This window comes from Homo sapiens, chromosome 19, assembly GCF_000001405.40.
Source record: "Homo sapiens chromosome 19, GRCh38.p14 Primary Assembly".
In the NCBI taxonomy this organism is placed as follows: Eukaryota; Metazoa; Chordata; class Mammalia; order Primates; family Hominidae; genus Homo; species Homo sapiens.
Window position 1 is genome coordinate 18555968 of NC_000019.10, and position 23802 is coordinate 18579769.

The window sequence follows — 23802 nt, forward strand, 5'->3', positions numbered from 1 at the left end:
GCCTGGCTAATTTTTTGTATTTTTAGTAGAGATAGGGTTTCACCATGTTAGCCAGGATGGTCTCAATCTCCTGACCTCATGATCCGCCCGCCTCGGCCTCCCAAAGTGCTGGGATTACAGGCGTGAGCCACTGCACCCAGCCAGGAGCTAATTTAAAGGGGCAGGAAAGGAAATAATTATAATTATAATGATGTGGATTTATTAATCCACATCAGTTTATAGCGATTTTTGTTGTTGTTGTTGTTGTTGCTTTTTGAGACAAAGTCTCATTCTGTCACCCAGGCTGGAGTGCAGTGGCACAATCTCGGCTCACTGCAATCTCCGCCTCCCAGGTTCAAGAGATTCTCATGCCTCATCCTCCTGAGTAGCTATGATTATAGCACCTGCCACCACGCCAGGCTAATTTTTTTTTTTTTTTTTTGGATTTTTAGTAGAGACGGGGTTTCACCATGTTGGCCAGTCTGGTCTCAAACTCCCGACCTCAGGTGATCCACACGCCTGGCATCCCAAAGTGCTGGGGTTACAGGCGTGAGCCACTGCGCCGGGCCTGTTTGTTTTTTGAGACTGGGTCTCACTCTGTTGCCCAGGCTGGAGTGGGGTCTTCGTTCACTGCAACTTCTGCCTCCTGGCCTCAAACGATACTCCTACCTCAGCCTCTTGAGAAACTGGGACCACAGGCTCGGGCCACAGGCCCGTTTTTTTTTTTTTTTCCAATTGTAGCTGTGAGGCATTTTATTACAAAAACTTGGTACTCGTATACACAAACTAACATGAACTTAAAATACATTTTCTTCATTTTTTAGCTTGACCTTCTTTTTTTTTTTTGAGACGTGGTCTTGCTCTATCGCCCAAGCTGGAGTGCAGTGGTGCGATCTTGGCTTACTGCAGCCTCTGCCTCCTGGGTTCAAGCGATTCTCCTGCCTCAGCCTCCTGAGTAGCTGGGATTACAGGCTCCCGCCACCACTCCCGACTAATTTTTTTTATTTTTAGTAGAGACAAGGTTTCACCATGTTGGTCAGGCTGGTCTCGAACTCCTGATCTCGTGATCCGCCCGCCTCGGCCTCCCAAAGTGCTCGGATTACAATGACAGGATGTGAGCCACCGCGCCCAGCCTGTAAACCCTTTTGAAAAAATTCCCCAGCGCATTACTCCAAAACAACGTGGAAGTGTAAATGGAAACCAGGGCTGGGCGCGGTGGCTCATGCCTGTAATCCCAGCACTTTGGGAGGCCGAGGCGGGCAGATCACCTGAGGTCGGGAGATCGGGACCCGCCTGACCAACATGGAGAAACCCTGTCTCTACTAAAAACACAAAACTTGCCGGGCATGGTGGCACATGCCTGTAATTCCAGCTACTCCGGAAGGCTGAGGCAGATGAATCGCTTGAACCTGGGAAGCGGAGGTTGCGGTGAGCCGAGATCACGCCATTGTACTCCAGCCTGGGCAACAAGAGCGAAACTCTGTCTCAAAAAAAAAAAAAAAAAAAAAAAAAGGAAACTTGGACCAAAAAAATCAGCAAAAGTGGAGCAGGGATGTCTGAACACAGATGAGTCTAATTCCCTGCTTGGAAAGCAGGACACCTGAGTGTGGTTTGGCCTCTGACCACTGTAGCATTTACGACCTTGGGGAGGGTTACCACTCTGGGACCTCAGTCACACTATCTACAAAATGGGACACTTCTCTCAGCCTTCCTTCTTCCGGGCCGCTTTCAAGCCTGGGCTTCTGGAAATACGCAGGCGCGAGATGAATTGTTTGATTGGCTATTCATTGTGATGCACCCACGAGCTGAAGCTCCGTCTAAGCCCCGCCCTTTCCTGTCGTGACTTAACGCACGCAAGCGGCTCCAGGGTACGTCCCCGCCACGCGCGCTCGCAGGATCGGTGCGTGGTGACGTTTCGCCGGCGCGGGCGCCATCCCGGAAGCGCGAGCAAGGCCGCCAGATGTGCAGGTGCCGCCGCTACCGACGCCGGGGCCGAGTTTGGGGTGGGGCTGGGGACTCCAGGGCCGCGGGGAACCGGTCCGGGTCGGGCGCGGCCCCCGGGCTGCGGTGGGGTGGGGTGCGCCACTGGCCACATCTGGTCATTCCTGCTGCGCACAGGCCTCAGTTTCCCCGTCTGCTCAATGGATACGCAGGCGGCGCTACGGGCTGGATCTGGATCCGGATCAGGGGCATAGGAATTGGGGCCTCCTGTGTTCTGGGTGTGTCGTGTAACCTGGAGCTGGGCGTTGCCCGGTTTGTGCCTCAGTTTCCCTGTATTGTAGGGGACGGGGCGTGAGGGGATATTTGAGCCCCTCCCCACTTGGGGTTTTTCAGAGCTTGGATGGCTGAGTTAAATTCTGTTAAATAACCTGGATATAGAACCGTGGTGCTTCTCTGCCTCTCCCTGTGAGTTTCGGCAACGGAGCCCGCCCCTGTGAGCCTCAGTTTCACTCGGAGATGATTGTGTCTGCCTCGTAACGGTGATTGAGGATGAAATGAAGTGCTCTACAAGTGTTTGCCCGTAATATATTCTTAGAGGCCCCTGGGATGCTCTCAAAATGTTGATTCCCGGGACTTCTTCACACTCCTCTTGGAGAAACAGCCTGTCCTGAGCTCCAGTCGTTATCACCTTTGGTTTCAGTTGCCACAGACAGCACTGTGAGATCTTCATTCTACCTTATTTTCATTTTATGGTTGAAAAAACTGATTCAGAAGGGTGAAGTGGCTCTCCCATGGTCAAACAGCCTACCTCTCTGCGTTTCTTCAATAAATCTACATTTGGAGTTGGGATCAGAGCTCTTGCTGGGTCAATTTCACTGTGTATGTGGGCCAGACTAGCAGTAATCAGGGAAGGCTTCTTGGGAGAGGAAGTTGCGGGGGGACGGGAGGGAGGTGCCAGGAACCCCTCAGCCCTCACATCTGGGAGCCAGAGACAGAAAAGAGTCCTGTTTTGAAGGAGGAGTGTATCCCAGAAGGTCCCAGTACTGTGTCTCACTGGTACTAGCTATGGGCCTCCCTCTCCAGGTGTCTTTTTTTTTTTTTTTTTTTTTTTTTCAGTTGAGATGAAGTCTCCCTCTGTAGCCCACACTAGAATGCAGTGGCTTGATTTTGGCTCATTGCAACCTCTGCCTCCCGGGTTCAAGCGATTCTCCTGCCTCAGCCTCCTGAGTAGCTGGGACTACAGGTGCCCGCCATCATGCCTGGCTAATTTTTGTATTTTTAGTAGAGACGGGGGTTTCACCATGTTCACCAGGCTAGTCTTGAACTCATGACCTCAGGTGATCCACCAGCCTTGGCTTCCCAAAGTGCTGAGATTACAGGCATGAGCACCCGGTCCAGGTATCCTCTTTATACAAGATCATGCTTCTTTGGGAATGTGGAGACTGGGTGTCTCTGCATGGCATGTCATAGGAGTTCAATAACCATAGTTATTATTAGAGGGAAGGGGGTTTTGCTGGGTGTGGCACCTTATTTCTAGAAGGTGCTGCAAACCACTGACCAGATACAGATCACAAATAGATGCTCTTGGCCTCCATGATATCTTGGAAAAAAGTATTGATTGCTGACATTTGTCAATGAGGCAATTTCCCAGAAAAAAAAAATCCCTGTTTCCTTTTTCCTGGAGAAACATCAGAAGTCAGGCAGAAATCAGCTGCTGTAAGAAGCCACTGTCCTGTCACAGCTGGATATTGTGCACCTGTTCAGATTCACACCTTTGTGAGACCCGTGGGCTGTGGCCGTTTGTTGTGACTTAGGTTCACTGGCTGTGTGACAGTGGCCCAGTTTCTCAGTGTCCCTGAGCCTCAGTTTTCTCATCTATAAATAAGAATGATAACAGTATGTATGAGCTTGATGCTTTGTTTAGCATAGAGTAGCTGCTGAATAAATGGGAGAGTACATTAAGTGAGCTCTGAAACCCTTTCTTTCTCTTTCCTTTCTTTCTCTCTTTCTCTGTCTCTCTCTCTTTCTCTCCTCTCTCTTTCTCTCTTTGTCTCTCTCTCTTTCTCTCCTTCTCTCTCTCTTTCTCTCTCTCCCTTCCTTCCTTCCCTCCCTCCCTCCCTTCCTTCCTTCTTTTCGAGATGGAGTCTCACTCTGTCGCCCGGGCTGGAGTGTAGTGGCATGATCTCGGCTCATTGCAACCTCTGCCTCCCAGGTTCAAGCCATTCTCCTGCCTCAGCCATCCAAGTAGCTGCGACTACAGGTGCCCGCCACCATGCCCGGCTAATTTTTTTTGTATTTTTAGTAGAGACTGAGTTTCACTATGTTGGCCAGGCTGGTTTTGAACTCCTGACCTCAAGCAGTCTGCCCACCTCGGCCTCCCAAAGTGCTAGGATTACAGACGTGAGCCACCACACCCGGCCTCTGAAACCCTTTCTGATCCAGTAGAAGTTCGTCTCTGTTTCTTGGCTATTAAATGTGTGGGCCTCAGAGCCAAACTATATCAAGATCCTAGATTTTTCCTGAACTCCCTAGGAGGGTCAGTGCTGTAGCCCCTCCTACCCTGGCTGCTCCGGGAAGTCCCTGCCTGCCATTACGGTCATCTGTGTGCCAGCAAAACTGGGAACCTCAGAACCATCTGGATTGCTGGGGCCCACAGGTTGGCTGTGAGTACCTGCAATTCTTGGCTTTAATTTGCTAATAAAAGTGTCACGTCAGAGCTGAGTTTGAAAAGTTCTGTTGCCCTTCCCCACAACAACATTCTGGCAGCCCCTTGCTATGAGCCAGACTCCGGGTCGGGTTCTGGTGACAGACACACCTCTACTCCTTCTTTTTTTTTTTTGAGACGGAGTCTCTCTGTTGCCCAGGCTGGAGTGCAGTGGCACAGTCTTGGCTCACCACAACCTCCGCCTCCTGGGTTCAAGTGATTCTCCTGCCTCAAGCTCCCGAGTAGCTGGGACTAAAGGTGCCCACCACCATGCCTGGCTAATTTTTGTATTTTTAGTAGAGATGGGGTTTCACTATGTTGGCCAGGCTGGTCTCGAACTCCTGACCTCGTGATCCACCTGCCTCGCCCTCCCAGAGTGCTAGGATTACAGGCGTGAGCCACAGCACCTGGCCACCTCTGCTCTTTTGGAGCTGACGTTGTGGCGGTGACAGGCAAACGGGTTAGCTGATAACTAGGATAATTTCATGAAGAGGTGAACCAGTGAAGCAGTTAAATCAAGGTAAAGGGTGGCTGGGCGCAGTGGCTCAGGCCTGTAATCCTAGCACTTTGGGAGGCCAAGGCAAAAGGGTCGTGTCAGCCTAGGAATTTAAGAGCAGCCTAGGCAACATAGCGAGACCCTGTCTCTTAACAAACAAACAAACAAAAACAAGGTAAAGTAGCCTGGGCGCGGTGGCTCATGCCTGTAATCCCAGCACTTTGGGAGGCTGAGGCGAGTGGATCACCTGAGGTCAGTAGTTCGAGACCAGCCTGGCCAAAATGGTGAAACCCCGTCTCTACTAAAAAATACAAAAATTAGCCAGGCGTGGTGGCGGGCACCTGTAATCCCAGCTACTTGGGAGGGTGAGGCAGGAGAATCGCTTGAACCTGGGAGGCGGAGGTTGCGCTAAGCCAAGATCGCGCCATTGCACTCCAGCCTGGGTGACAGGAGTGAAACTCTGTATCAAAAAGAAATAAAAAAACGAGGTCAAGTAGTAAGAGAAGCGGTAAGAGTGACGGGAACAGGAGTCATTGACCTCTTGGGAGAGGAGACATTGGAGGTGGTGATGATTTGCTGAAGCAGCCACACACGTTCAGCTTGTGAGGACAGCAGTTGTTAGGCAGGGGATGAGGGAGGAAGCTGGCAGATCTGTGCAGGTGAGAGGTACCTGTGGCCTTGGGCTCATGGAAGTGGGAGGTGATGGGATTCTAATGTGCTTGGGTACAGTTTACAAATACAACCTCTCTTAGTTTGCCCAATACCTCCAAATTCCTGGGGTGGCACACCTGAGGTTCAGGTGGCATGACTGAGCCACAGTCACACATCCCCACTGTAGGATACCACCACGGTTGGGTTAGGTTCCAGCACATGGCGGTCCCGGCCTGGCCTCTTGGTCCCACCTCACCTGGTGACTAGTGCAGACCACTCTGTTCTTGCCTGTTTCAGGCAGCGGAGGAGGAGAAAGAGATGGACCTCCCGGACTCGGCCTCGAGGGTCTTCTGCGGCCGCATCCTGAGCATGGTGAACACAGATGATGTCAACGCCATCATCCTGGCCCAGAAGAACATGTGAGTGGCGGCTGGGGGACCTGAGCGTGGGAAGGAATCCACAGGCTGGCCAACATTCTTGTCTTGCCCGCCCCTACCCGGGGCCCACACTGGTGATAAAATGAAGGAAATGAGCAAATCTGTCGCTGGCTCCAAAGTAAATTCCTTCCCGGCCTGGAGGCGAGGCCTTGGCACAGGAAGCAGGGCTTTGGGGAGATTTTGCAGCTGCGGATGGCTTGGCGGGGGCCGCAGGGGCTCCTGTCCCGAGACCTGGGGTGGGAGAGTTGAAGGACCAGAGGGGGCCACATGCAGGTTTTTTTGTTTATTTGTTTCTTGTTTTTGAGACAGAGTTTTGCTCTTGTTGCCCAGGCTAGAGTGCAATGGTGTGACCTTGCCTCACTGCAACCTCCGCCTCCCGAGTTCAAGCGATTTCTCCTGCCTCAGCCCTCTGAGTAGCTGGGATTACAAGCATGTGCCACCATGCCCAGCTAATTTTTGTATTTTTAGTAGAGACGGGCTTTCATCATGTTGGTCAGGCTGGTCTCGAACTCCTGACCTCAAGTGATCCACCCGCCTCGGCCTCCCGAAGTCCTGGGATTATAGGCCTGAGCCACTGTGCCTGGCCTTTATGCAGGTTTTATGCTGGTGCGCCTACTTCCTGGTGAAGGACTAGTCTCCCAGAGCCCAGGCTGTGTCTGCACAGTGCCCAGGGTCTCTTGGAGCGGACATAAAGGCCTCTTGTCCTCACTGGGGTTTGGTGCTGTGGCTGCTGAAACCTTGCCCTAATTCAGGCCTGCCCTGTGGGGAAGAAAGGCTAATACCAAGCTTGTCCAACCCTCGGCCTGTCCAACCCTTTGAATGTGGGCCAACACAAATTCGTAAACTTTCTTAAAACATTACGAGATTTTTTTTGTGATTTTTTTCTTTTTCTTTCTTAACTCATCAGCTGTCGTTAGTGTTAGTGTATTTTATGTGTGGCCCAAGACAATTCTTCTTCCAATGTGGCCCAGGGAAATGAAAAGACTGGACACCACTGGGCTAATACAGTCTTGGAGTGGAAGCACAGCCTCCCGCAGCTTTGTTTTTGTGTCTCTGAGCCAGAGGCTCTTCTCAGCTGTCACGACACAGTACAGACCTGATTTCCTTACCTTTTCTCCCAGACCCAGAGCAGCTCCGAGTCTCAATAGTACCTGTCTCTCTCCTGTGTCTTTTTTTTTTTTTTTTTTGGGAGACAGAGTCTCACTCTGTCGCCCAGGCTGGAATGCAATAGCATAATTGCTGCTCACTACATCCTCTGCCTCCTGGGTCAAGTGATTCTCCTGCTTCAGCCTCCTGAGTCGCTGGGATTATAGGCATGCACCACCATGCCTGGCTGATTTTTTTTTTGTGACGGAGTCTCGCTCTCTCGCCAGGCTGGAGCACAGTGGCGCAATCTCAGCTCACTGCAACCTCTGCCTGCTGGGTTCAAGCGATTCTACTGCCTCAGCCTTCCAAGTAGCTGGGACTACAGGTGTGCGCCACCACGGCCAGCTAATTTTTGTATTTTTAGTAGAGACGGGGTTTCACCACGTTGACCAGAATGGTCTCAATCTCTTGACTTCGTGATCCGCCCGCCTCAGCCTCCCAAAGTGCTGGGATTACAGGTGTGAGCCACCGTGCCCGGCCCTGATTTTTTTATTTTTAGAAGAGATGTGGTTTCACCATGTTGGCCAGACCTCAAGTGATCCACCCTGCCTCAACCTCCTAAAGTGCTGGTCTCCTTTTTTTTGAGACATAGTTTCGCACTGTCACCCAGGCTGGAGTGCAGTGGCGCAATCTCAGGTCACTGCTATGTCCGCCTCCCGGGTTCAAATGATTCTCCTGCCTCAGCCTCCCGAGTAGCTGGGATTACAGGCGCCCGCCACCATGCCCAGCCAATTTTTGTATTTTTGGTAGAGACGCGGTTTTCCCATGTTGGCAAGGCTGGTCTCGAACTCCTGACCTCATGATCTGCCTGCCTTGACCTCCCAAAGCGCTGGAATTGCAGGCATGAGCCCCCATGCCCGGCTGGTCTCCTGTTTTTTTAGGTCAGATTCAGACCTGGCTCTGGGAAACTTCTAGACTGAGGGGAGACAAAGCCAGACACAGACCCTCCTGGCCCTATGGTGTCAGGGCTGGGCCAGAGGAACAACCTGGGGCTAGTGGAATTAAAAGAGTCTGATTGGGCCAGGCACGATGGCTCACTCCTGTAATCCCAGCACTTTGGGAGGCCGAGGTGGGTGGATCACGAGGTCAGGAGATCGAGACCATCCTGGCTAACCTGGTGAAACCTCGTCTCTACTAAAAATACAAAAAATTAGCCAGGCATGGTGGCGGACGCCTGTAGTCCCAGCTATACTCGGGAGGCTGAGGCAGGAGAATGGTATGAACCTGGGAGACGGAGCTTGCAGTGAGCCGAGATCGCGCCACTGCACTCCAGCCTGGGTGACGAAGCAAGACTCTGTCTCAAAAAAAGTCTGACTGAATAGAGGTAGACAAGGCTACATGAGAAGGACACACTTGAGTAGGGTTTTGAAGGTTGAATAGGAGTTTGCTAGGTGGCTCAAAGAGTAGGTAGAACTCTGCAGGACAAGGGAACAGCCCATGCAAAGGTTGTGAAGCAGGCAAGGGCTTGGCATGAACAGTCTTCTGGGCCAGGTTGGGCAGGGCCCTGAAGCTGGGCAGTGAAGCTCATGCCCTCTCTCCACCATCAGGCTGGACCGCTTTGAGAAGACCAATGAGATGCTGCTCAACTTCAACAACCTGTCCAGTGCCCGCCTGCAGCAGATGAGCGAACGCTTCCTGCACCACACGAGGACCCTAGTAGAGATGAAACGGGACCTGGACAGCATCTTCCGCCGTATCAGGTGGGTGCTCAGTGCCACCCCAGCCCAGCTGACCTCTGCCTCCACCTCCCCATCTGAGCCTCAGTTTCCTTCACATACCAGGGTAAAGGGAGATTTCTGTTTGTTTTACAAGGCTTCACTGCGCACTTAAGTGTCTGGGACAATTCCAACCCTGGGATAAAATCTTGACGTAAGTTTATTTACTGATTGATTAATTGATCGAGACAGAGTTTTTTTTTTTTTTTTGGAGACGGAGTCTCGCTCTGTTGCCCAGGCTGGAGTGCAGTGGCGCGACCTCAGCTCACTGCAAGCTCCGCTTCCCGGGCTCACGCCATTCTCCTGCCTCAGTCTCCGGAGTAGCTGGGATTACAGGTGCCTACCACCACGCCTGGAGAATTTTTTGTATTTTTAGTGGAGATGGGGTTTCACCGTGTTAGTAGTCAGGATGGTCTCGATCTCCTGACCTCGTGATCCAGCCGCCTTGGCCTCCCAAAGTGCTGGGATTACAGGCGTGAGCCACTGCGCCCGGCCGAGACAGAGTCTTGATCTGTGGCCCTGGCTGGAGTGCAGTGGCGTGATCTTGGCTCACTGCAACCTCTGCCTCCTGGATTCAAGCGATTCTTGTGCTTCAGCCTTCTGAGTAGCTGGGTCTACAGACATACTGTACCACACCCAGCTAATTTTTGTTGTTGTTGTTTTATTTTTGAGGTGGAGTCTTGCTCTGTCGCCCAGGCTGGAGTGCAGTGGTGCAATGTCAGCTCACTGCAACCTCCGCCTCCCAGGTTCAAGCGATTCTCCTGCTTCAGCCTCCTGAGTAGCTGGGACTACAGGCGCATGCTGCCACGCCCAGCTGATTTTTTGTATTTTAGTAGAGACGAGATTTCACCGTGTTGCCCAGGCTAGTCTCAAACTCCTGAGCTCCAGCACTCTGCCTGCCTCGGCCTCCTAAAGTGTTGGGATTACAGGTGTGAGCCTAATTTTTGTATTTTGTGTAATTTTTGTATTTTTTTAGTAGAGACAGGGTTTCCCCATGTTGGCCAGGCTCATCTCGAAGTCCTGGCCTCAGATGATCCATCCACCTCGACCTCCCAAAGTGCTGGGATTATAGGCATGAGCCATCATGCCCAGCCTTGCAGTTTATTTATTCTTAAAAAATGTAACACAGTGCGGCTGGGCGAGGTGGCCCATGCCTGTAATCCCAGCACTTTGGGAGGCCGAGGCAGGCGGATCACGAGGTCAGGAGATCAAGACCATCCCGGCTAACATGGTGAAACCCCGTCTCTACTAAAAATACAAAAAATACTAAAAATACAAAAAATTAGCTGGGCGTGGTGGTGGGCGTCTGTATTGCCAGCTACTCGGGAGGCTGAGGCAGGAGAATGGCATGAACCCAGGAGGTGAGCCGAGATCGCGCCACTGCACTCAAGCCTGGGCGACAGAGCGAGACTCCGTCTCAAAAAAAAAAAAAAAGTAACATAGTGCTAGACACATAATGAAAAGGCAGGAATGGCTGGGCACAGTGGCTCATGCCTGTAATCCCAGCAGTTAGGGAGGCTGACGCAGGCAGATCACCTGAGGTCAGAAGTTTGAGACCAGCCTGGCCAACATGATGAAATCCCGTCTCTACTAAAAATACAAAAAAATCAGCTGAGCATGGTGGCACGTGCCTGTAATCCCAGCTACTTGGGAGGCTGAGGGAGGACAATCATGTGAATCCGGAAGGTGGAGGTTGCAGTGAGCCAGGATGGCACCACTGCACTCCACCCTGGGCGACAGAGTGAGATTCTGTCTCAAAAAAAAAAAAAAAATTTATCAGAGAAGAGGCCACATGTAAGAAGCAGCCTCGCAGGGGGAGCCCCCAGCCAGTGCCTAGGCTCAGAGCACCCAGAGTCTAACTAGTTGGGGGTTGGTGCCTACCTTGGGGCTGGAGGCCGGCTGGTGGGCGACTGTCAGGGCCGTGGCTGCTGGGCCGAGCACCTAGAGAGAGTGAAGATGTGAGGTGATGAACAGTGTGGGGGTTCTCACTCCCGTCTCCCCTTGCCCTCAGCTGGCAGCAGGGGCTTGTGGCCAGCACCAGGCCCAGCCTACCTGCTCAGCAGGTTAAGCCCTGTGTGCCTTCTCTCCCCTGCAGGACGCTGAAAGGGAAACTGGCCAGGCAGCACCCAGAGGCCTTCAGCCGTAAGTGTCACGCAGGGTTCCTGCTCCCGAGCACGTCAGCACTCTCCACCCAGGGCAGGCTTCTGGAAGGCCACCTTGGGGCCTGATACTGAGACCAGGCTGTAATGGGCAGTGGGTCTGGGGAAACCTGGGGTGGGGGCAGGGTCAGGGTGCTGGCCTGGTCCTGTCAGCAGCTGGCAGAGTGGGCACTAGGACGGGAGTCCGTGCCCCGTGGGGAGGCCGCACAGGAGAATGTGGATAAGCAGCATGACAATCCTTATCCCTGTGTGCATTATGAGCCATCTCAGAACAGAGCACGGGCTCATGTGACACCAGCCCCGACATCGTCTCGCCTTCCCTGAGCCCCAGCTTCGAGGATCTGTCCCATGTCCAGCTGTTACCCACAGTCACCCATGGGGTGGGGACTGTGAGTATCACCGTTTCATGGAGAGGGAAACAGAGGCCCAGAGGGGCAGGACTTGAGTTCGCATCTGTCTGGCTAGAGAGCTCGCGTGTTCTCTGGGGTACCATTCCATGTTGCCACCACCTTAAAGGGCTCTGCAGGCTGAGCCTGGGTTCACACCATCTGTTGAAAAGGCCGACAGCTCTCCATCCCAGGGCCTCCAACAGCAGTTTACAGAGCAGGGAGCTGGGCTGAGGGGAGGTCATATACCTAGCCCAGGTAGTGCAGTGAGCCAGGTTCGCCCTCAGGGCTCCTGTAGGCCTAACCCCAGATCTTGTGTCCCTTCCTCACCTCACCTTGAAGGGAGGGCTCTTCCCTGCCTGGGCCTCAGTTTTCTCCTCTACAAAATAAAAATGGGCCAAGTCTGCCAGGCGCGGTGGCTCATGCCTGTAATCCCAACACTTTGGGAGGCTGAGGCGGGTGGATCACCTGAGGTCGGGAGTTCGATACCAGCCTGACCAACATAGAGAAACCCCGTCTCTAGTAAAAATACAAAATTAGATGGGCGTGATGATGGGCATCTGTAGTCTCAGCTACTCAGGAGGTTAAGGCAGAAGAATCGCTTGAACCCGGGAGACGGAGGTTGCAGTGAGCCGAGATTATACCATTGCACTCTAGCCTGGGCAAAGAGCGAAACTCCGTCTCAAAAAAAAAAAAAAAAAAGGGTCAAGTCATACCCCCATGGGGTGAGGGCAGCCGTTAGGGGTCACATGGACAATAAGTCCTACATCACAGAGCTTGGCAAGGTGACAAAACCAACTCTTGGGCCTCCTTCCCCCAGATATCCCAGAGGCATCCTTCCTGGAGGAAGAGGATGAAGACCCCATCCCACCCAGCACCACGACCACCATTGCCACCTCAGAACAGAGCACGGGCTCATGTGACACCAGCCCCGACACCGTCTCGCCCTCCCTGAGCCCCGGCTTCGAGGACCTGTCCCATGTCCAGCCTGGCTCCCCAGCCATCAACGGCCGCAGCCAGACAGATGACGAGGAGATGACGGGCGAATAGCCCTGCTGCCCGGTGCCTTGAGGGGGTCTCAGGGCAGCAGCATACAAGGTGGCAGCGGGTAACCCTGCCTTGTTCTGTCATCCAGGGCTCCTTTGCTGCCCCGTTCTGTCACCCAGGGCTCCTAGGGGGACAAGGCTCTCTCCCGAGGGGTGTGGAATTCCTGGGGGGGTCTTTAATTCTGGCTCCTTCCTTCCTCAGAACATCTCTATTCTGCAAGACCCCTCTGCCATGCCAGGGCACGCCCATTCCAGCTGGAGTCGTGGGGCTGGGCACAGGGGAATTTTTCCAGAGCTGAGCCTGACGTCTGCTCTGAAGAATGCTTAGAAGGTTCCCAGACACCAGAGCCAGATGTCCCCCACCACCGGTCAGGACCTCCTTGAGGTGCACAAGCACGGTCTCCTCTGAGTTCACCCCAGCCCACCCCCGCACCCACTAATTCTGCTTTTCCTGCCCCTTGCTCCGTAAAAGTATCAAATACTTTCTCCTTGGTATCTCAAGGAGGTTTCTGAGATAGGTAGAAGTCTTGAGACGGAGGCTGGCCATCCATTCAGCCCTGAGCGTGCTGAGTTCTGTGTTTCTCTGAATAGAGGTGTGGAACCTGAGGGGCCAGCAGGCCTCTCTGAAGGCCTCCATGGAGCAAACGGAGCCACCTCGGGAAAGAGTTTAATGGAATATTTTTGTACCCGATGTTTACAGATGCTGTTGGGAAGTTATCAATAAAAAGACACCATTACTAAAAAGGGAAAAGTACACCTAGCTGTGGCTTCTTCAGTCCTTAAGCCAAGCAACCCAAAAGGAGGGCAAGTGCTGGATGTGGGGCTGGGGGCCCTGCTGGAGGGAGGTGCAGACAATCAGGCACTACAGGGCTAGAAAGAGATGTGGCCCTTTTTTGGAACCCCCCCTGGTGGGAGCTATAACAACCCAAGTTCCCGTCACCAGCTAGGTCTTCCCTCACGCTGCTGTCACTGCTCACAATACTAGTGTTCCCATCCTCATTTCATAATTCCTTCTCCAGATCTCAGCCTTCCTCCAGATAGGGGAGCCACACTAGATCCATTCCCCATCAGACACACTCCCAGGGTTACCTCATCTTCTGAGTACTTAGAAATTATGTTGTTATGACCGGGCTTGGTGGCTCATGCCTGTAATCCCAGCACTTTGGGAGGCCGAGGTGGGTGGATCACCTGAGGTCAGGAGTTCGAGACCAGCCTGGCCAACATGGTGAAACCCCATCTCTACCAAAAATATAAAAATTAGCTGGGTGTGGTGGTGTACACCTGTAATCCCAGCTACTTGGGAGGCTGAGGCAGAATTGCTTGAATCCAGGAGGCAGAGGTTGCAGTGAGCCAAGATCGCACCACTGCACTCTAGCCTGGGCAAAAAGACCAAAACTGTTGTCTCAAAAAAGAAAAGGAAATTAGGTTCTTAAAGGCATCTTCCCAGACGTGAGAGTGTCTGCTTTTGCCTGGTATAGTAGTGCCTGCAAATGTTCAAGGAAATAAACAGGTACCCCTGTTAAGCCTATAGGTAACTTCTCATTGCTCCCCATCTTCTCTGTACTCAGCACTTTTTTTTTTTGTTTTGTTTTTGAGACAGCACCTCTCTGTTGCCCAGGCTGGAGTGCAGTGGCTGAATCATGGGTCACTGCAATCTCAAACCTATGGGTTCAGGCAATCCTCCTGCCTCCGAAGTAGCTGGGACTGCAGGTGCGCACCACCACACCTGGATAGTTCAAAATAAAACTTTTTTTTGTAGAGACAGGGTCTCACTATGTCTTCCAGGCTGGTCGTGAATTCCTGACCTCAAGTAATCCTCCCTCTTTGACCTTCCAAAGTGCTGGGATTACAAGTGTGAACCACTGCACCCGCCGTGGCACTTTTTTTTTTTTTTTTTTTTTTTGAGATGGAGTCTCACTCTGTCACCCAGGCTGGGTGCAGTGGCGTGAACTCAGCTCACTGCAACCTCCACCTCCCGGATTCAAGCGATTCTCCTGCCTCAGCCTCCTGAGTAGCTGGGATTACAGGCACCCGCCACCACACCTGAAAAATTTTTGTAATTTTTTTTTTCTTTTTTGAGACGGAGTTTTGCTCTTGTTGCCCAGGCTGTAGTGCAATGGCACTCTCTCGGCTAATTGCAACCTCTGCCTCCCGGGTTCAAGCGATTCTCCTGCCTCAGCCTCCTGAGTAGCTGGGATTACAGGCATGCGCCACCACGCCCAGCTAATTTTGTATTTTTAGTAGAGATGCGGTTTCTCCATGTTGGTCAGGCTCGTCTCGAACTCCCGACCTCAGGTGATCCGCACATCTCGGCCTCCCAAAGTGCAGGCGTGAGTCACCGGACCCAGGTCCCGCCCTGGCACTTTTTAACCACCCACAAATCTGGATCCTACACTGAAAAGAGACACTGCAGTGGCTCACGTCTGTAATCCCAGCACTTTGGGAGGCCAAGGCGGGCGGATCACCTGAGGTCGCGAGTTTGAGACCAGCCTGACCAACATGGAGAAACCCCGTCTCTACTAAAAATACAAAAGTGGCCAGGCATGGTGTCGCACACTTGTAATCGCAGCTACTCGGGAGGCTGAGGCAGGAGAATTGCTTGAACCCAGGAGGCGGAGGTTGCGGTGAGCCGAGATCGCGCCATTGCACTACAGCCTGGGCAACGAGAGCGAAACTCCGTCTCAAAAAAAAAAAAAAAAAAAATCCTGAGTCCCGCTTGACACCTTTTGTCAGGCACCACCACCTTTCTGGGCGAATGCGGTAGTACCGTCTGCTCTCCCTGCTGCTGTCCTGAAATCCATTCAGGCACAGCGGCCGAGAGCTTTATAATAACCGATTCCAGGTGTTAGGTGCTTTCCCAGCCCCGACTCCTGCGTCCTGGACCCGCAGTCCTCTGCTTAATACCTTTGCTTTATTAGAAAACATTCTCCTCTACTCCGTTCAGCTATTCGCTGAGGGCCCGCCAACCGCCAGCGGTTGTCAGTGGCCTAGAGGCAGCGGACGCAAACACGGGGAGAGGTGCAATCGTCTCAAGTGACTCGGCGGGCGGGGCCCACAACCGGAAGCGGGTGGGCGACCTTCACCCACGTGCGCTGCGGCTTCGTTCGCCAGCATCCAAGATGGCGGCAGGGCGGGGCCCAAGGCGCGGCGCGAATTGTGACGCAGGCGTCCGGCGTGCTCCGTGCGCAAGCGCTTTCGGCGGCGATTAGGTGGTTTCCGGTTCCGCTATCTTCTTTTTCTTCAGCGAGGCGGCCGAGCTGGTTGGTGGCGGCGGTCGTGCGGGTTCGCGCCGGGCCGAGAGCGGGTTGGGGGCTGCGGGAGGCTGCAGGGGCCTGGGCGGCAGAAGAGGCGGCCCTGAGCTGGCTCATGCGGGCCAGTCTCGGCAGGGTGGCTGGGCAGGGCTCGCGAGGCCACGGCTCGGAGCCCAGACCGGGGCCCAGGAGGCGAGCGCCGTTTTGGAGAGGAGCCTGCCTGCTCTGCCTGCCAGCGTGACCCCACGAGGCCTCGGGCGGGAAGAGGTCCTCGGGGCAGATCCGAGTTAATGAGAGAGGGGTATTGAGCGTGTAGCGTTAACTCTGCCAGTCACTGCGTCAGTCGCTTTGGAAATACTAAATTTCTCGAGCTGAGTCTTCATACCTGGCTCCATTACTACGTCTGTAAGGAGGAGCTGGTGGTAGTGTCTGCTTTTTAGACTTTTCTTTAGACTATTTGTATTTTTTTCAGATGGAGTCTTGCTCTGTCGCCTAAGCTGGAGTTCAGTGGTGCGGTCTCGGCTCACTGCAATCTCCACCTCCCGGGCTCGAGCGATTCTTCTGCCTCAGCCTCCCGAGTAGCTGGGATTATAGGCGCCTGCCACCACGCCCAGTTGATTTTTGTAGTTTTAGTAGAGACGGAGTTTCACCATGTTAGCCAGGCTCATCTTGAACTCTTGACCTCAAATGATCCGTCTGCCTCGGCCTTCCAAAGTGCTGGGATTACAGGCATGAGCCCCTGCGCCCGGTCGATTCTTTGTCTTTTTAAGTCAACTTTTATATGTGAACAATGCTTGGCAGGTGGTTGGTAGATACTAAGTGATGTTCGTGGTTTGGGGTCAAGGCAAGAAGTGGGGTCTGGAGAGTTTTGGTGTAATTGAGAAGGAAGCTAAGAGTGTTGGGTGCTCCAGCTTGGAGTTAGAGAGGAGAGAGGCTGCGACAGGAAGGCATGTGTGTTGTAGGGGATGGCTTCCCATCCAGGCTGGCAGCAGGAGCAGCCTGTGCAGATCAGGACCTGGCTGCCGTGGAAGAGGGTGGGACCGCCTTCAGGGAAGATGGATCTAGCAAGATGATGCCAAAGGGTACTTATTCCATCAGGAGATACTGACGAGTCCTTCCGCCGCTAAACCTAAGGAGAATAACCACAGTCTGTGTTCCTGAAGAGCACCCGTGCGGTCAGGAGGGTGGAGGACATGTGGTCTTTAGTTCCAGGACATGTTTAGACTACAGGCCAGGGTGTGTGAGAAGCCTAGCAGGGCCAGGCTTGGAGGAGTGAAAGGAAGACAGGTACTGGGGCAGGACCAGTTGGACTTGGTGCAGGCAAAGGGATAGCAACTGTGGTGTAGGCACCTGAGCTTGTGCTACTCAGGCATGCATTGCTCACCAGTCTATCCTGCCTCCCTTCCTCCTGCAGACGCAAACATGCAGATCTTTGTGAAGACCCTCACTGGCAAAACCATCACCCTTGAGGTCGAGCCCAGTGACACCATTGAGAATGTCAAAGCCAAAATTCAAGACAAGGAGGGTGAGTAGGGCTGGGTGTGGGGGCTCTGGCTGTGAACTGGGAGTCCCTCTCTGCCCAGGGGAGTCTCAGTCCTGTGTGGGTTGTGCTGACTTTAGATCTGTTTTGCCCTTGCTTCTCCATGTGATCTGAAGAACGTTTGTTATCTTCTACCTCAGTTGGCCTTTTGAGAAACTGGGGGTAGTGCTGGAGCTCCCCTGCAGAGGACACTGCCAGTAATATGGTCCGCAGAGCCTCTAACTGAGCCTCCCTCCCCCTCAGGTATCCCACCTGACCAGCAGCGTCTGATATTTGCCGGCAAACAGCTGGAGGATGGCCGCACTCTCTCAGACTACAACATCCAGAAAGGTACCGGGGTTGGGGTTGCTGGGCAGGGACCCAAGATCCCCAGGTCCTAGGAAAGGAGCATTGATGGCCTCAGGGGTTGGGGAGCAGTTCAAATGACTTGTGTTTTGTTTAAAATAATGGGACTGGGCACAGTGGCTCATGCCTGTAATCCCGGCACTTTGGGAGGCTTAGGCGGGTGGATCACCTGAGGTCAGGAGTTCAAGACCAGCCTGGACAACGTGGTGAAATCCCGTTTCTATTAAAAATACAAAAATCAGCTGGGTGCAGTGGCTCAGGCCTGTAATCCCAGCACTTCGGGAGGCTGAGGCGGGCAGATCACAAGGTCAAGAGATTGAGATCATCATGACCAACATGGTGAAATCCCATCTCTACTAAAAATACAAAAATTAGCTAGGCATGGTGGTGCGTGCCTGTAGTCCCAGCTACTCAGGAGGCTGAGGAAGGAGAATTGCTTGAACTCGGGAGACAAAAAAAAAAAGTCATAATGTGAATTTTTTTATCACTGCAATAAGGAAATTAGTGTCACTTGTGGGAGCGACAAGAATTCAGTGTCCTTTTTTTGTGAGACAGAGTCTTACTCTGTCACCCAGGCTGGAGTGCAGTGACGCGATCTCACTGTGACCTCCGTCTCCCGGGTTCAAGCGATTCCCCTGCCTCAGCCTCCCGAGTAGCTGGGATTACAGGCACCCGCCACCACGCCCAGCTAATTTTTTTTGTATTTTTAGTAGAGACAGGGTTTCACTACGTTGGCCAGGCTGGTCTCTTAAAGTGCTAGGATTACAGGCGTGAGCCATGGTGCCCCGCCTAGACTTCAGTGTCTGACCTTGCCTGAACCACTTAGAGGTCGGCTTCCATGTTAGAAACCCAGATGGATGCCTCAGTTGGCATGTGTCAGTCTCAGACTCCCCCCAGGGCTCGTGGTCAGTGCTGAGATGGAGATTTCCTGGGGCAGGCTGGCTGGGACAGTGTATCTTCCACACGTAGAACACTCGGGGGATCCCGACTTGGTGTCCCCATCACACTTGAGAAAGCAGCAGACTATAGGCCCTGGAGGGTCCTGCCCCTGTGACTGAGGAGCCAGGGCTGGGCTCAGTCGCCGTCCTTCTGGCTGTCTCCTGCAGAGTCCACCCTGCACCTGGTGTTGCGCCTGCGAGGTGGCATTATTGAGCCTTCTCTCCGCCAGCTTGCCCAGAAATACAACTGCGACAAGATGATCTGCCGCAAGTATGTGTGCTCCGATGCTTGGGGGGCTGTGGGGGCTGCCGGAGTCGGGGTATGCCCTCACCCACCCCTCCTGTCTCTGTGCAGGTGCTATGCTCGCCTTCACCCTCGTGCTGTCAACTGCCGCAAGAAGAAGTGTGGTCACACCAACAACCTGCGTCCCAAGAAGAAGGTCAAATAAGGTGGTTCTTTCCTTGAAGGGCAGCCTCCTGCCCAGGCCCCGTGGCCCTGGAGCCTCAATAAAGTGTCCCTTTCATTGACTGGAGCAGCAATTGGTGTCCTCATGGCTGATCTGTCCAGGGAGGTGGCTGAAGAGTGGGCATCTCCCTTAGGGACTCTACTCAGCACTCCATTCTGTGCCACCTGTGGGGTCTTCTGTCCTAGATTCTGTCACATCGGCATTGGTCCCTGCCCTATGCCCCTGACTCTGGATTTGTCATCTGTAAAACTGGAGTAAAAACCTCAGTCGTGTAATTGGTGGGACTGAGGATCAGTTTTGTCATTGCTGGGATCCTGTCAGGCACTTTGAGGTGTCCCTCAGGCCTTGGCCCTGAAGTGTCTAGGTGTGTGGAGATGGGTAGAAAATTAGGTACACCCAATGGTGTAGAACGTTGATTCTCAAATTTTTTTATTTTATACAAATGGGGTCTCACTATGTTGTCCAGGCTGGTCTTGAACTCCTGGGCTCAAGCCATCCGCCCATCTCAGCCCCTCAAAGTGTTGGGATTACAAGCAAGAACTGCCATGCCTGACCCAGTTCTCAGTTTTTTGTTTGTTTGTTTGTTTGTTTGTTTTGAGACGGAGTCTTGCTCTGTCGCCCAGGCTGGAGTGCAGTGGCGCAGTCTCGGCTTACTACAACCTCTGCCTCCGGGGTTCACATCCTTCTCCTGCCTCAGCCTCCCGAGTAGCTGGGACTACAGGTGCCCGCCACAACTCCTGGCTAATTTTTTGTATTTTTAGTAGAGACGGGGTTTCACTGGGTTAGCCAGGTTGGTCTCGATCTCCTGACCTTGTGATCCATTCGCCTTGGCCTCCCAGAATGCTGGTATTACAGGCGTGAGCCAGCACGCCTGGCCCAGTTACTCAGTTTTGAATCTGAGGCCGTGACATCACTCATGGTCTGCAGTCAGTGCTCTGCCCCTGAGCTGTACCCTCTCCTATGATAATCACTCTTAAGAAGGGCAACCCTTGGTGTTTTCCCCTTAAGGTCACCCAGGCTGGAATGCAGTGGTGTGGTCATGGCTCCCTGTACCCTGGAACTCAGGCTTGGGTGATCCTCTCTCCTTTGCCTCCGAAGTAGCCAGGACTACAGGTGTGCACCCACCACCACACTCAGATAATTGCTTTGGTGTTTTTAAAGCTTGTAATGATCAGTAGGCTGAGGTGGGCAAATCATAAGGTCAAGAGTTTTTTAGATGGGGTGAGCACAGACCAATTCCTGTTTTATTTACTGATTTAAAATTTTGAGACAGTCTCACTGTCACCCAGGTTGGGGTGCAGTGGTAGGATCATAGCTTGCTGCAGCCTTGATCTCCCAGGATCTTGCCTCAGCCTCCCGAGTAGCTGGGACTGCATGCTTGTGCCACCACACTCGGTTAATATTTTGTAGAGATGGGGTCTTGCTATGTTGCCCAGGCTGGCTTCAAACTCCTGAACTTAAAAGCCTCCTGTTTAGTTTTGGTTTTTTATCACTTTTTTTTTTTTTTTTTGAGATGGAGCCTTGCTCCCATCGTGCAGGCTGGAGTGCGGTGGCGCAGTCTCGGCTCACTGCAGCTTCTGCCTCTCGGGTTCAAGCGATTCTCCTTTCTCAGCCTCTTGAGTAGCTGGAATTACCAGTGTGCGCCACCACCACCACGCCTGGCTAGTTTTTCTGTTTTTAGTAGAGACAGGGTTTTGCTATGTTGGCCAGGCTGGTCTTGAACTACTGACCTCTTGTGATCTACCTGTCTTGGCCTTCCAAAGTGCTAGGATTACAAGCGTAAGCCACAGCGCCTGGCCTTGCTACATTTTTTTTTTTTTTTTTTTTTTTACAGACATGGTCTCGCTATGTTGCCCAGAATGGTTTTGCACTGGGTCCAAGCAGTTCTGCCGCAGCCTCCCAAAGTGCTGGGATTACAGGGGTGAGGCACCTTGCTGGCCCCTGTTTTGATTAGGGTGCAGTGCTGGTGAAGCCGGTGCACGAGGCCAGTGATGCATCCTAATGAGGGGTGGAGTTGGCGGGACTTCCTGGGCCAGTTTGGGGACTTTCACAAAAGACCCCCATGACTCAGGGTTTTGAGTTCTTAACTGATCGAATGAAGGATTCAAAATTAACCACTCCAAGGGGGGATTGAAGGAAGAACCACTCTTAATGGACAAAAAGAAAGAAAGGGGAGGGAGTAACAGGGATATGAGCTCTAGCCGCCCAAGCTAGCAATGGCAACCCTTCTGGGTCCCCTTCCAGCATGTGGAAGCTTTCCTTTCGCTTCATTCAATAAACAGCTGCTGCTCACTCTCCTGGTCCGTGGACTCTTTTTGAACTGTTAACACTCCCCGCAAAGGTCCGCAGCTTCATTCTTCAAAGTTAGCGAGACCAGGAACCCATCGGCAGGAGAAACTGACTCATCGTGGGGGCTCACCCAGGATTTCCAAAGCGGTAACATCGGACCTCTTTCGCTTGCTACTCTGCTCTACTTTTCTTTAGAATTGAGGGCAAACACCGGGCACCTGTCGGCCATTTAAAAGCGACAAGTGCCGCCGCCTGACTAAAGACACAGATGTAAGGGTATCTGAGAAAGGGCTCTCTAACAACCCCCAGCCCTTCTGAATCGAGAGTGTTGTTTTGCCTAGAAACCAGTTCCCACTTTCTCTGCATTTTCTGGGTTGAACCGAGGGCTGGCCAAGGGTGGAAAACAGTGGCCCCAAGCTCCTGGTAACGCCCAGTCGAGATGACAGCGCTTTGTGAAACCTTTGTTAAACAGCCACCCAAACGCACTTCACCCACCCTTCGAGAGGCATGCCTCCTAGGTCCAAACGTCTATAAGGAAGACTTTCTTGAGAACTTGTCTCCAGGATTCTCTCTACCCCCAGGATGAAAACCCTCTGGATTAGGAATCTAAAACAATTAGGATGGCAACCCTCAGATCTGTGTTCCTGATGTGCCATGGCTTATTTTTTTATTTTTTTTGAGATGGAGTCTCGCTCTGACGCCCAGGCTGGAGTGCAGCGGCACGATCTTGGCCCACTGCAACCTCAACCTCCCGGATTCAAGCAATTCTCTTGCCTCAGCCTCCTGAGTAGCTGGGATTACAGGCACCACGTGCCACCATGACTGGCTAATTTTTGTATTTTTAGTAGAGATGGGGTTTCACATGTTGGTCAGACTGGTCTCGATCTGACCTCGTGATCTGCCCGCCTCGACCTCCCAAAGTGCTGGGATTGCAGGCGTGAGCCACTGCGCCCGGCCCCCATGGCTTATTCTAATGTAGATGGGCAACAATGCAAATATACAGGACCTGTTCCCCATATTCGACACCGAAGGCAATACCCAGGACAATATAGTGTGTGCCAATGGTTACTGGAAGGCTTAGGCCATTTCTCTTTCTGTCGTCCCCACCTCACTGGGAACCATTTCACCTATCATTTCTCTTGTTTAGGATCAGCAATCCAAACTACGGAGCTCTTCCACTCAGGGTACCACTCGCATTTGTGGGAGTTAAGTAAAATAATAGACCATCGACTGGGAGATCAAAAGTAGTATTCTTAAGATGGAAAGCGGGGACAAAAGGCTGTAGTGCATGAGACACTATTTCAGCCTTGGCCCAATCCCCTGTTGCCCCCCGCCTTAAAATTGCTATGTCTATGTACAATCTTTAAGGAGTTCATCTTACTGGGGCAGTTTCAAGCTCAGAAATATGCTAACTGGAGCCTTGTAAACCACCTAAGAATACACCCCAAACTTAGAACCCACTCACTGGAACAAAAACTTTCGGGCGCACTGGTAAGAGGCCGCTAAACCCAGCAGCCTGGCCTCCTTCTTTGTGGCTAAGAAGGGAGGGAAAAGAATGTGGTTGAAACTGCTACGTCGGTAAGCACAATTAAATCTGATAAGCAGGGTTCCATGGGTGATTGTGCACCCTGGAAAATGGACACTAAAACAGTAGGGGACCTGCTAGAACCAGTGTCCACTGGGAATGACTAGGGGTGCGGGCATCCCTATGCTTTCCTTTCAGATGGGAGATTTTCCCTCCAAAGTGAAGTCGCCCCTGAGGTGTATTCTGAATAACTGGGACCAATTTGATCCCCAGACATTGAAGAAGCAGCTCATATTTTTCTGCAGCACTGCCTGGCCACAATATCCTCTTCCAGGAGGAGAACGATGGCCACCTGAGGGAAGTATACACTATAATACCATCCTGCAACTAGATCTGTTTTGTAAACAAGAAGGCAAGTGGATTTAGGTACCATATGTTCAGACCTTTTTCTCATTAAGGGATGATAACCCACGATTGTGTAAGACATGTAACCTGCACCCCACAGGGAGTCCTCAAATTCTACCCCCATACCCAGTCCTCCCCACGGCTCCTCCTACTAATGCCAAACCCTCTCTGGCTTCTACAGCCCAAAAGGGAACAAATAAAAGAGCCTTCAGAGAGCCAAGAGACCCCACTGGCCCCTGGCTATGTCCTCTTCAGGCTGTAGGAGGGGAATTTGGCCCAACCCGAGTACATGTTCCCTTTTCTCTCTCTGATCTAAAGCAAATTAAGGCAGACTTGGATGAAAGTTCTCAGATGACCCCAATAGATACGTAGATGGCCTGCT

The 23802-nt window shown here is 52.5% G+C and overlaps 2 protein-coding genes across 24 annotated transcripts, besides 9 other annotated features; both read left to right on the plus strand.

Annotated features, from left to right (window-relative positions):
* Positions 930–1721: an enhancer, noted in NCBI's record as "H3K27ac hESC enhancer chr19:18667707-18668498 (GRCh37/hg19 assembly coordinates)". NCBI's record gives its function as "activates a minimal SCP1, AML or CMV promoter by ChIP-STARR-seq in naive H9 embryonic stem cells {active_cell/tissue: H9 hESC(naive)}" and the evidence as "EXISTENCE:reporter gene assay evidence [ECO:0000049][PMID:30033119]".
* Positions 1722–2511: an enhancer, noted in NCBI's record as "H3K27ac hESC enhancer chr19:18668499-18669288 (GRCh37/hg19 assembly coordinates)". NCBI's record gives its function as "activates a minimal SCP1, AML or CMV promoter by ChIP-STARR-seq in naive H9 embryonic stem cells {active_cell/tissue: H9 hESC(naive)}" and the evidence as "EXISTENCE:reporter gene assay evidence [ECO:0000049][PMID:30033119]".
* On the plus strand, positions 1903–13411 carry KXD1 (KxDL motif containing 1). 11 transcript variants are annotated; one of them, XM_047439388.1, is made up of 7 exons: positions 1903–1947; positions 4453–4583; positions 6069–6190; positions 8902–9054; positions 11165–11211; positions 12435–12712; positions 12863–13411. In XM_047439388.1, exons 3-6 carry the CDS (start codon positions 6090–6092, stop codon positions 12662–12664), a joined length of 531 nt encoding a protein of 176 aa, XP_047295344.1. In that variant the 5' UTR covers positions 1903–1947; positions 4453–4583; positions 6069–6089; the 3' UTR covers positions 12665–12712; positions 12863–13411. The 11 variants fall into 11 exon arrangements, with proteins under 11 accessions (XP_047295344.1, XP_016882770.1, XP_047295345.1 ...); XM_017027281.2 differs by having other exon boundaries at positions 1903–4583; XM_047439389.1 differs by lacking the exon at positions 4453–4583 and having other exon boundaries at positions 1903–3163.
* Positions 2002–2161: a silencer, noted in NCBI's record as "silent region_10408". NCBI's record gives its function as "represses an Ori minimal core promoter by ATAC-STARR-seq in GM12878 lymphoblastoid cells {active_cell/tissue: GM12878}" and the evidence as "EXISTENCE:reporter gene assay evidence [ECO:0000049][PMID:35858748]".
* Positions 6136–6721: an enhancer, noted in NCBI's record as "H3K27ac-H3K4me1 hESC enhancer chr19:18672913-18673498 (GRCh37/hg19 assembly coordinates)". NCBI's record gives its function as "activates a minimal SCP1, AML or CMV promoter by ChIP-STARR-seq in primed H9 embryonic stem cells {active_cell/tissue: H9 hESC(primed)}" and the evidence as "EXISTENCE:reporter gene assay evidence [ECO:0000049][PMID:30033119]".
* On the plus strand, positions 7799–21583 carry UBA52 (ubiquitin A-52 residue ribosomal protein fusion product 1). 13 transcript variants are annotated; one of them, NM_001321017.2, is made up of 5 exons: positions 15757–15869; positions 17326–17436; positions 17695–17781; positions 18903–19005; positions 19090–21583. In NM_001321017.2, the coding sequence occupies exons 2-5, from the start codon at positions 17334–17336 to the stop codon at positions 19181–19183; spliced, it is 387 nt and encodes a 128-aa protein (NP_001307946.1). In that variant the 5' UTR covers positions 15757–15869; positions 17326–17333; the 3' UTR covers positions 19184–21583. The 13 variants fall into 13 exon arrangements, with proteins under 13 accessions (XP_005260111.1, NP_001307946.1, NP_001307947.1 ...); NM_001321018.2 differs by lacking the exon at positions 15757–15869 and adding an exon at positions 15890–16640; NM_001321020.2 differs by lacking the exon at positions 15757–15869 and adding an exon at positions 15890–16212.
* Positions 15224–15900: an enhancer, noted in NCBI's record as "H3K27ac-H3K4me1 hESC enhancer chr19:18682001-18682677 (GRCh37/hg19 assembly coordinates)". NCBI's record gives its function as "activates a minimal SCP1, AML or CMV promoter by ChIP-STARR-seq in naive H9 embryonic stem cells {active_cell/tissue: H9 hESC(naive)}" and the evidence as "EXISTENCE:reporter gene assay evidence [ECO:0000049][PMID:30033119]".
* Positions 15224–15940: a biological region, named in NCBI's record as "H3K27ac-H3K4me1 hESC enhancer GRCh37_chr19:18682001-18682677".
* Positions 15271–15390: an enhancer, noted in NCBI's record as "active region_14326". NCBI's record gives its function as "activates an Ori minimal core promoter by ATAC-STARR-seq in GM12878 lymphoblastoid cells {active_cell/tissue: GM12878}" and the evidence as "EXISTENCE:reporter gene assay evidence [ECO:0000049][PMID:35858748]".
* Positions 15601–15940: an enhancer, noted in NCBI's record as "active region_14327". NCBI's record gives its function as "activates an Ori minimal core promoter by ATAC-STARR-seq in GM12878 lymphoblastoid cells {active_cell/tissue: GM12878}" and the evidence as "EXISTENCE:reporter gene assay evidence [ECO:0000049][PMID:35858748]".
* Positions 16579–17255: an enhancer, noted in NCBI's record as "H3K27ac hESC enhancer chr19:18683356-18684032 (GRCh37/hg19 assembly coordinates)". NCBI's record gives its function as "activates a minimal SCP1, AML or CMV promoter by ChIP-STARR-seq in primed H9 embryonic stem cells {active_cell/tissue: H9 hESC(primed)}" and the evidence as "EXISTENCE:reporter gene assay evidence [ECO:0000049][PMID:30033119]".

Coding starts and splice junctions, on each gene's coding strand:
- UBA52 (XM_017027198.2), top strand. Junction 17,437..17,694: donor CAAAATTCAAGACAAGGAGG/GTGAGTAGGGCT, acceptor CCTCCCCCTCAG/GTATCCCACCTGACCAGCAG. Junction 17,782..18,902: donor AGACTACAACATCCAGAAAG/GTACCGGGGTTG, acceptor TGTCTCCTGCAG/AGTCCACCCTGCACCTGGTG.
- KXD1 (XM_017027281.2), top strand. CDS start 6,090: ATGGACCTCCCGGACTCGGCCTCGAGGGTCTTCTGCGGCCGCATCCTG. Junction 6,191..8,901: donor ATCCTGGCCCAGAAGAACAT/GTGAGTGGCGGC, acceptor CTCCACCATCAG/GCTGGACCGCTTTGAGAAGA. Junction 9,055..11,164: donor AGCATCTTCCGCCGTATCAG/GTGGGTGCTCAG, acceptor TCTCCCCTGCAG/GACGCTGAAAGGGAAACTGG.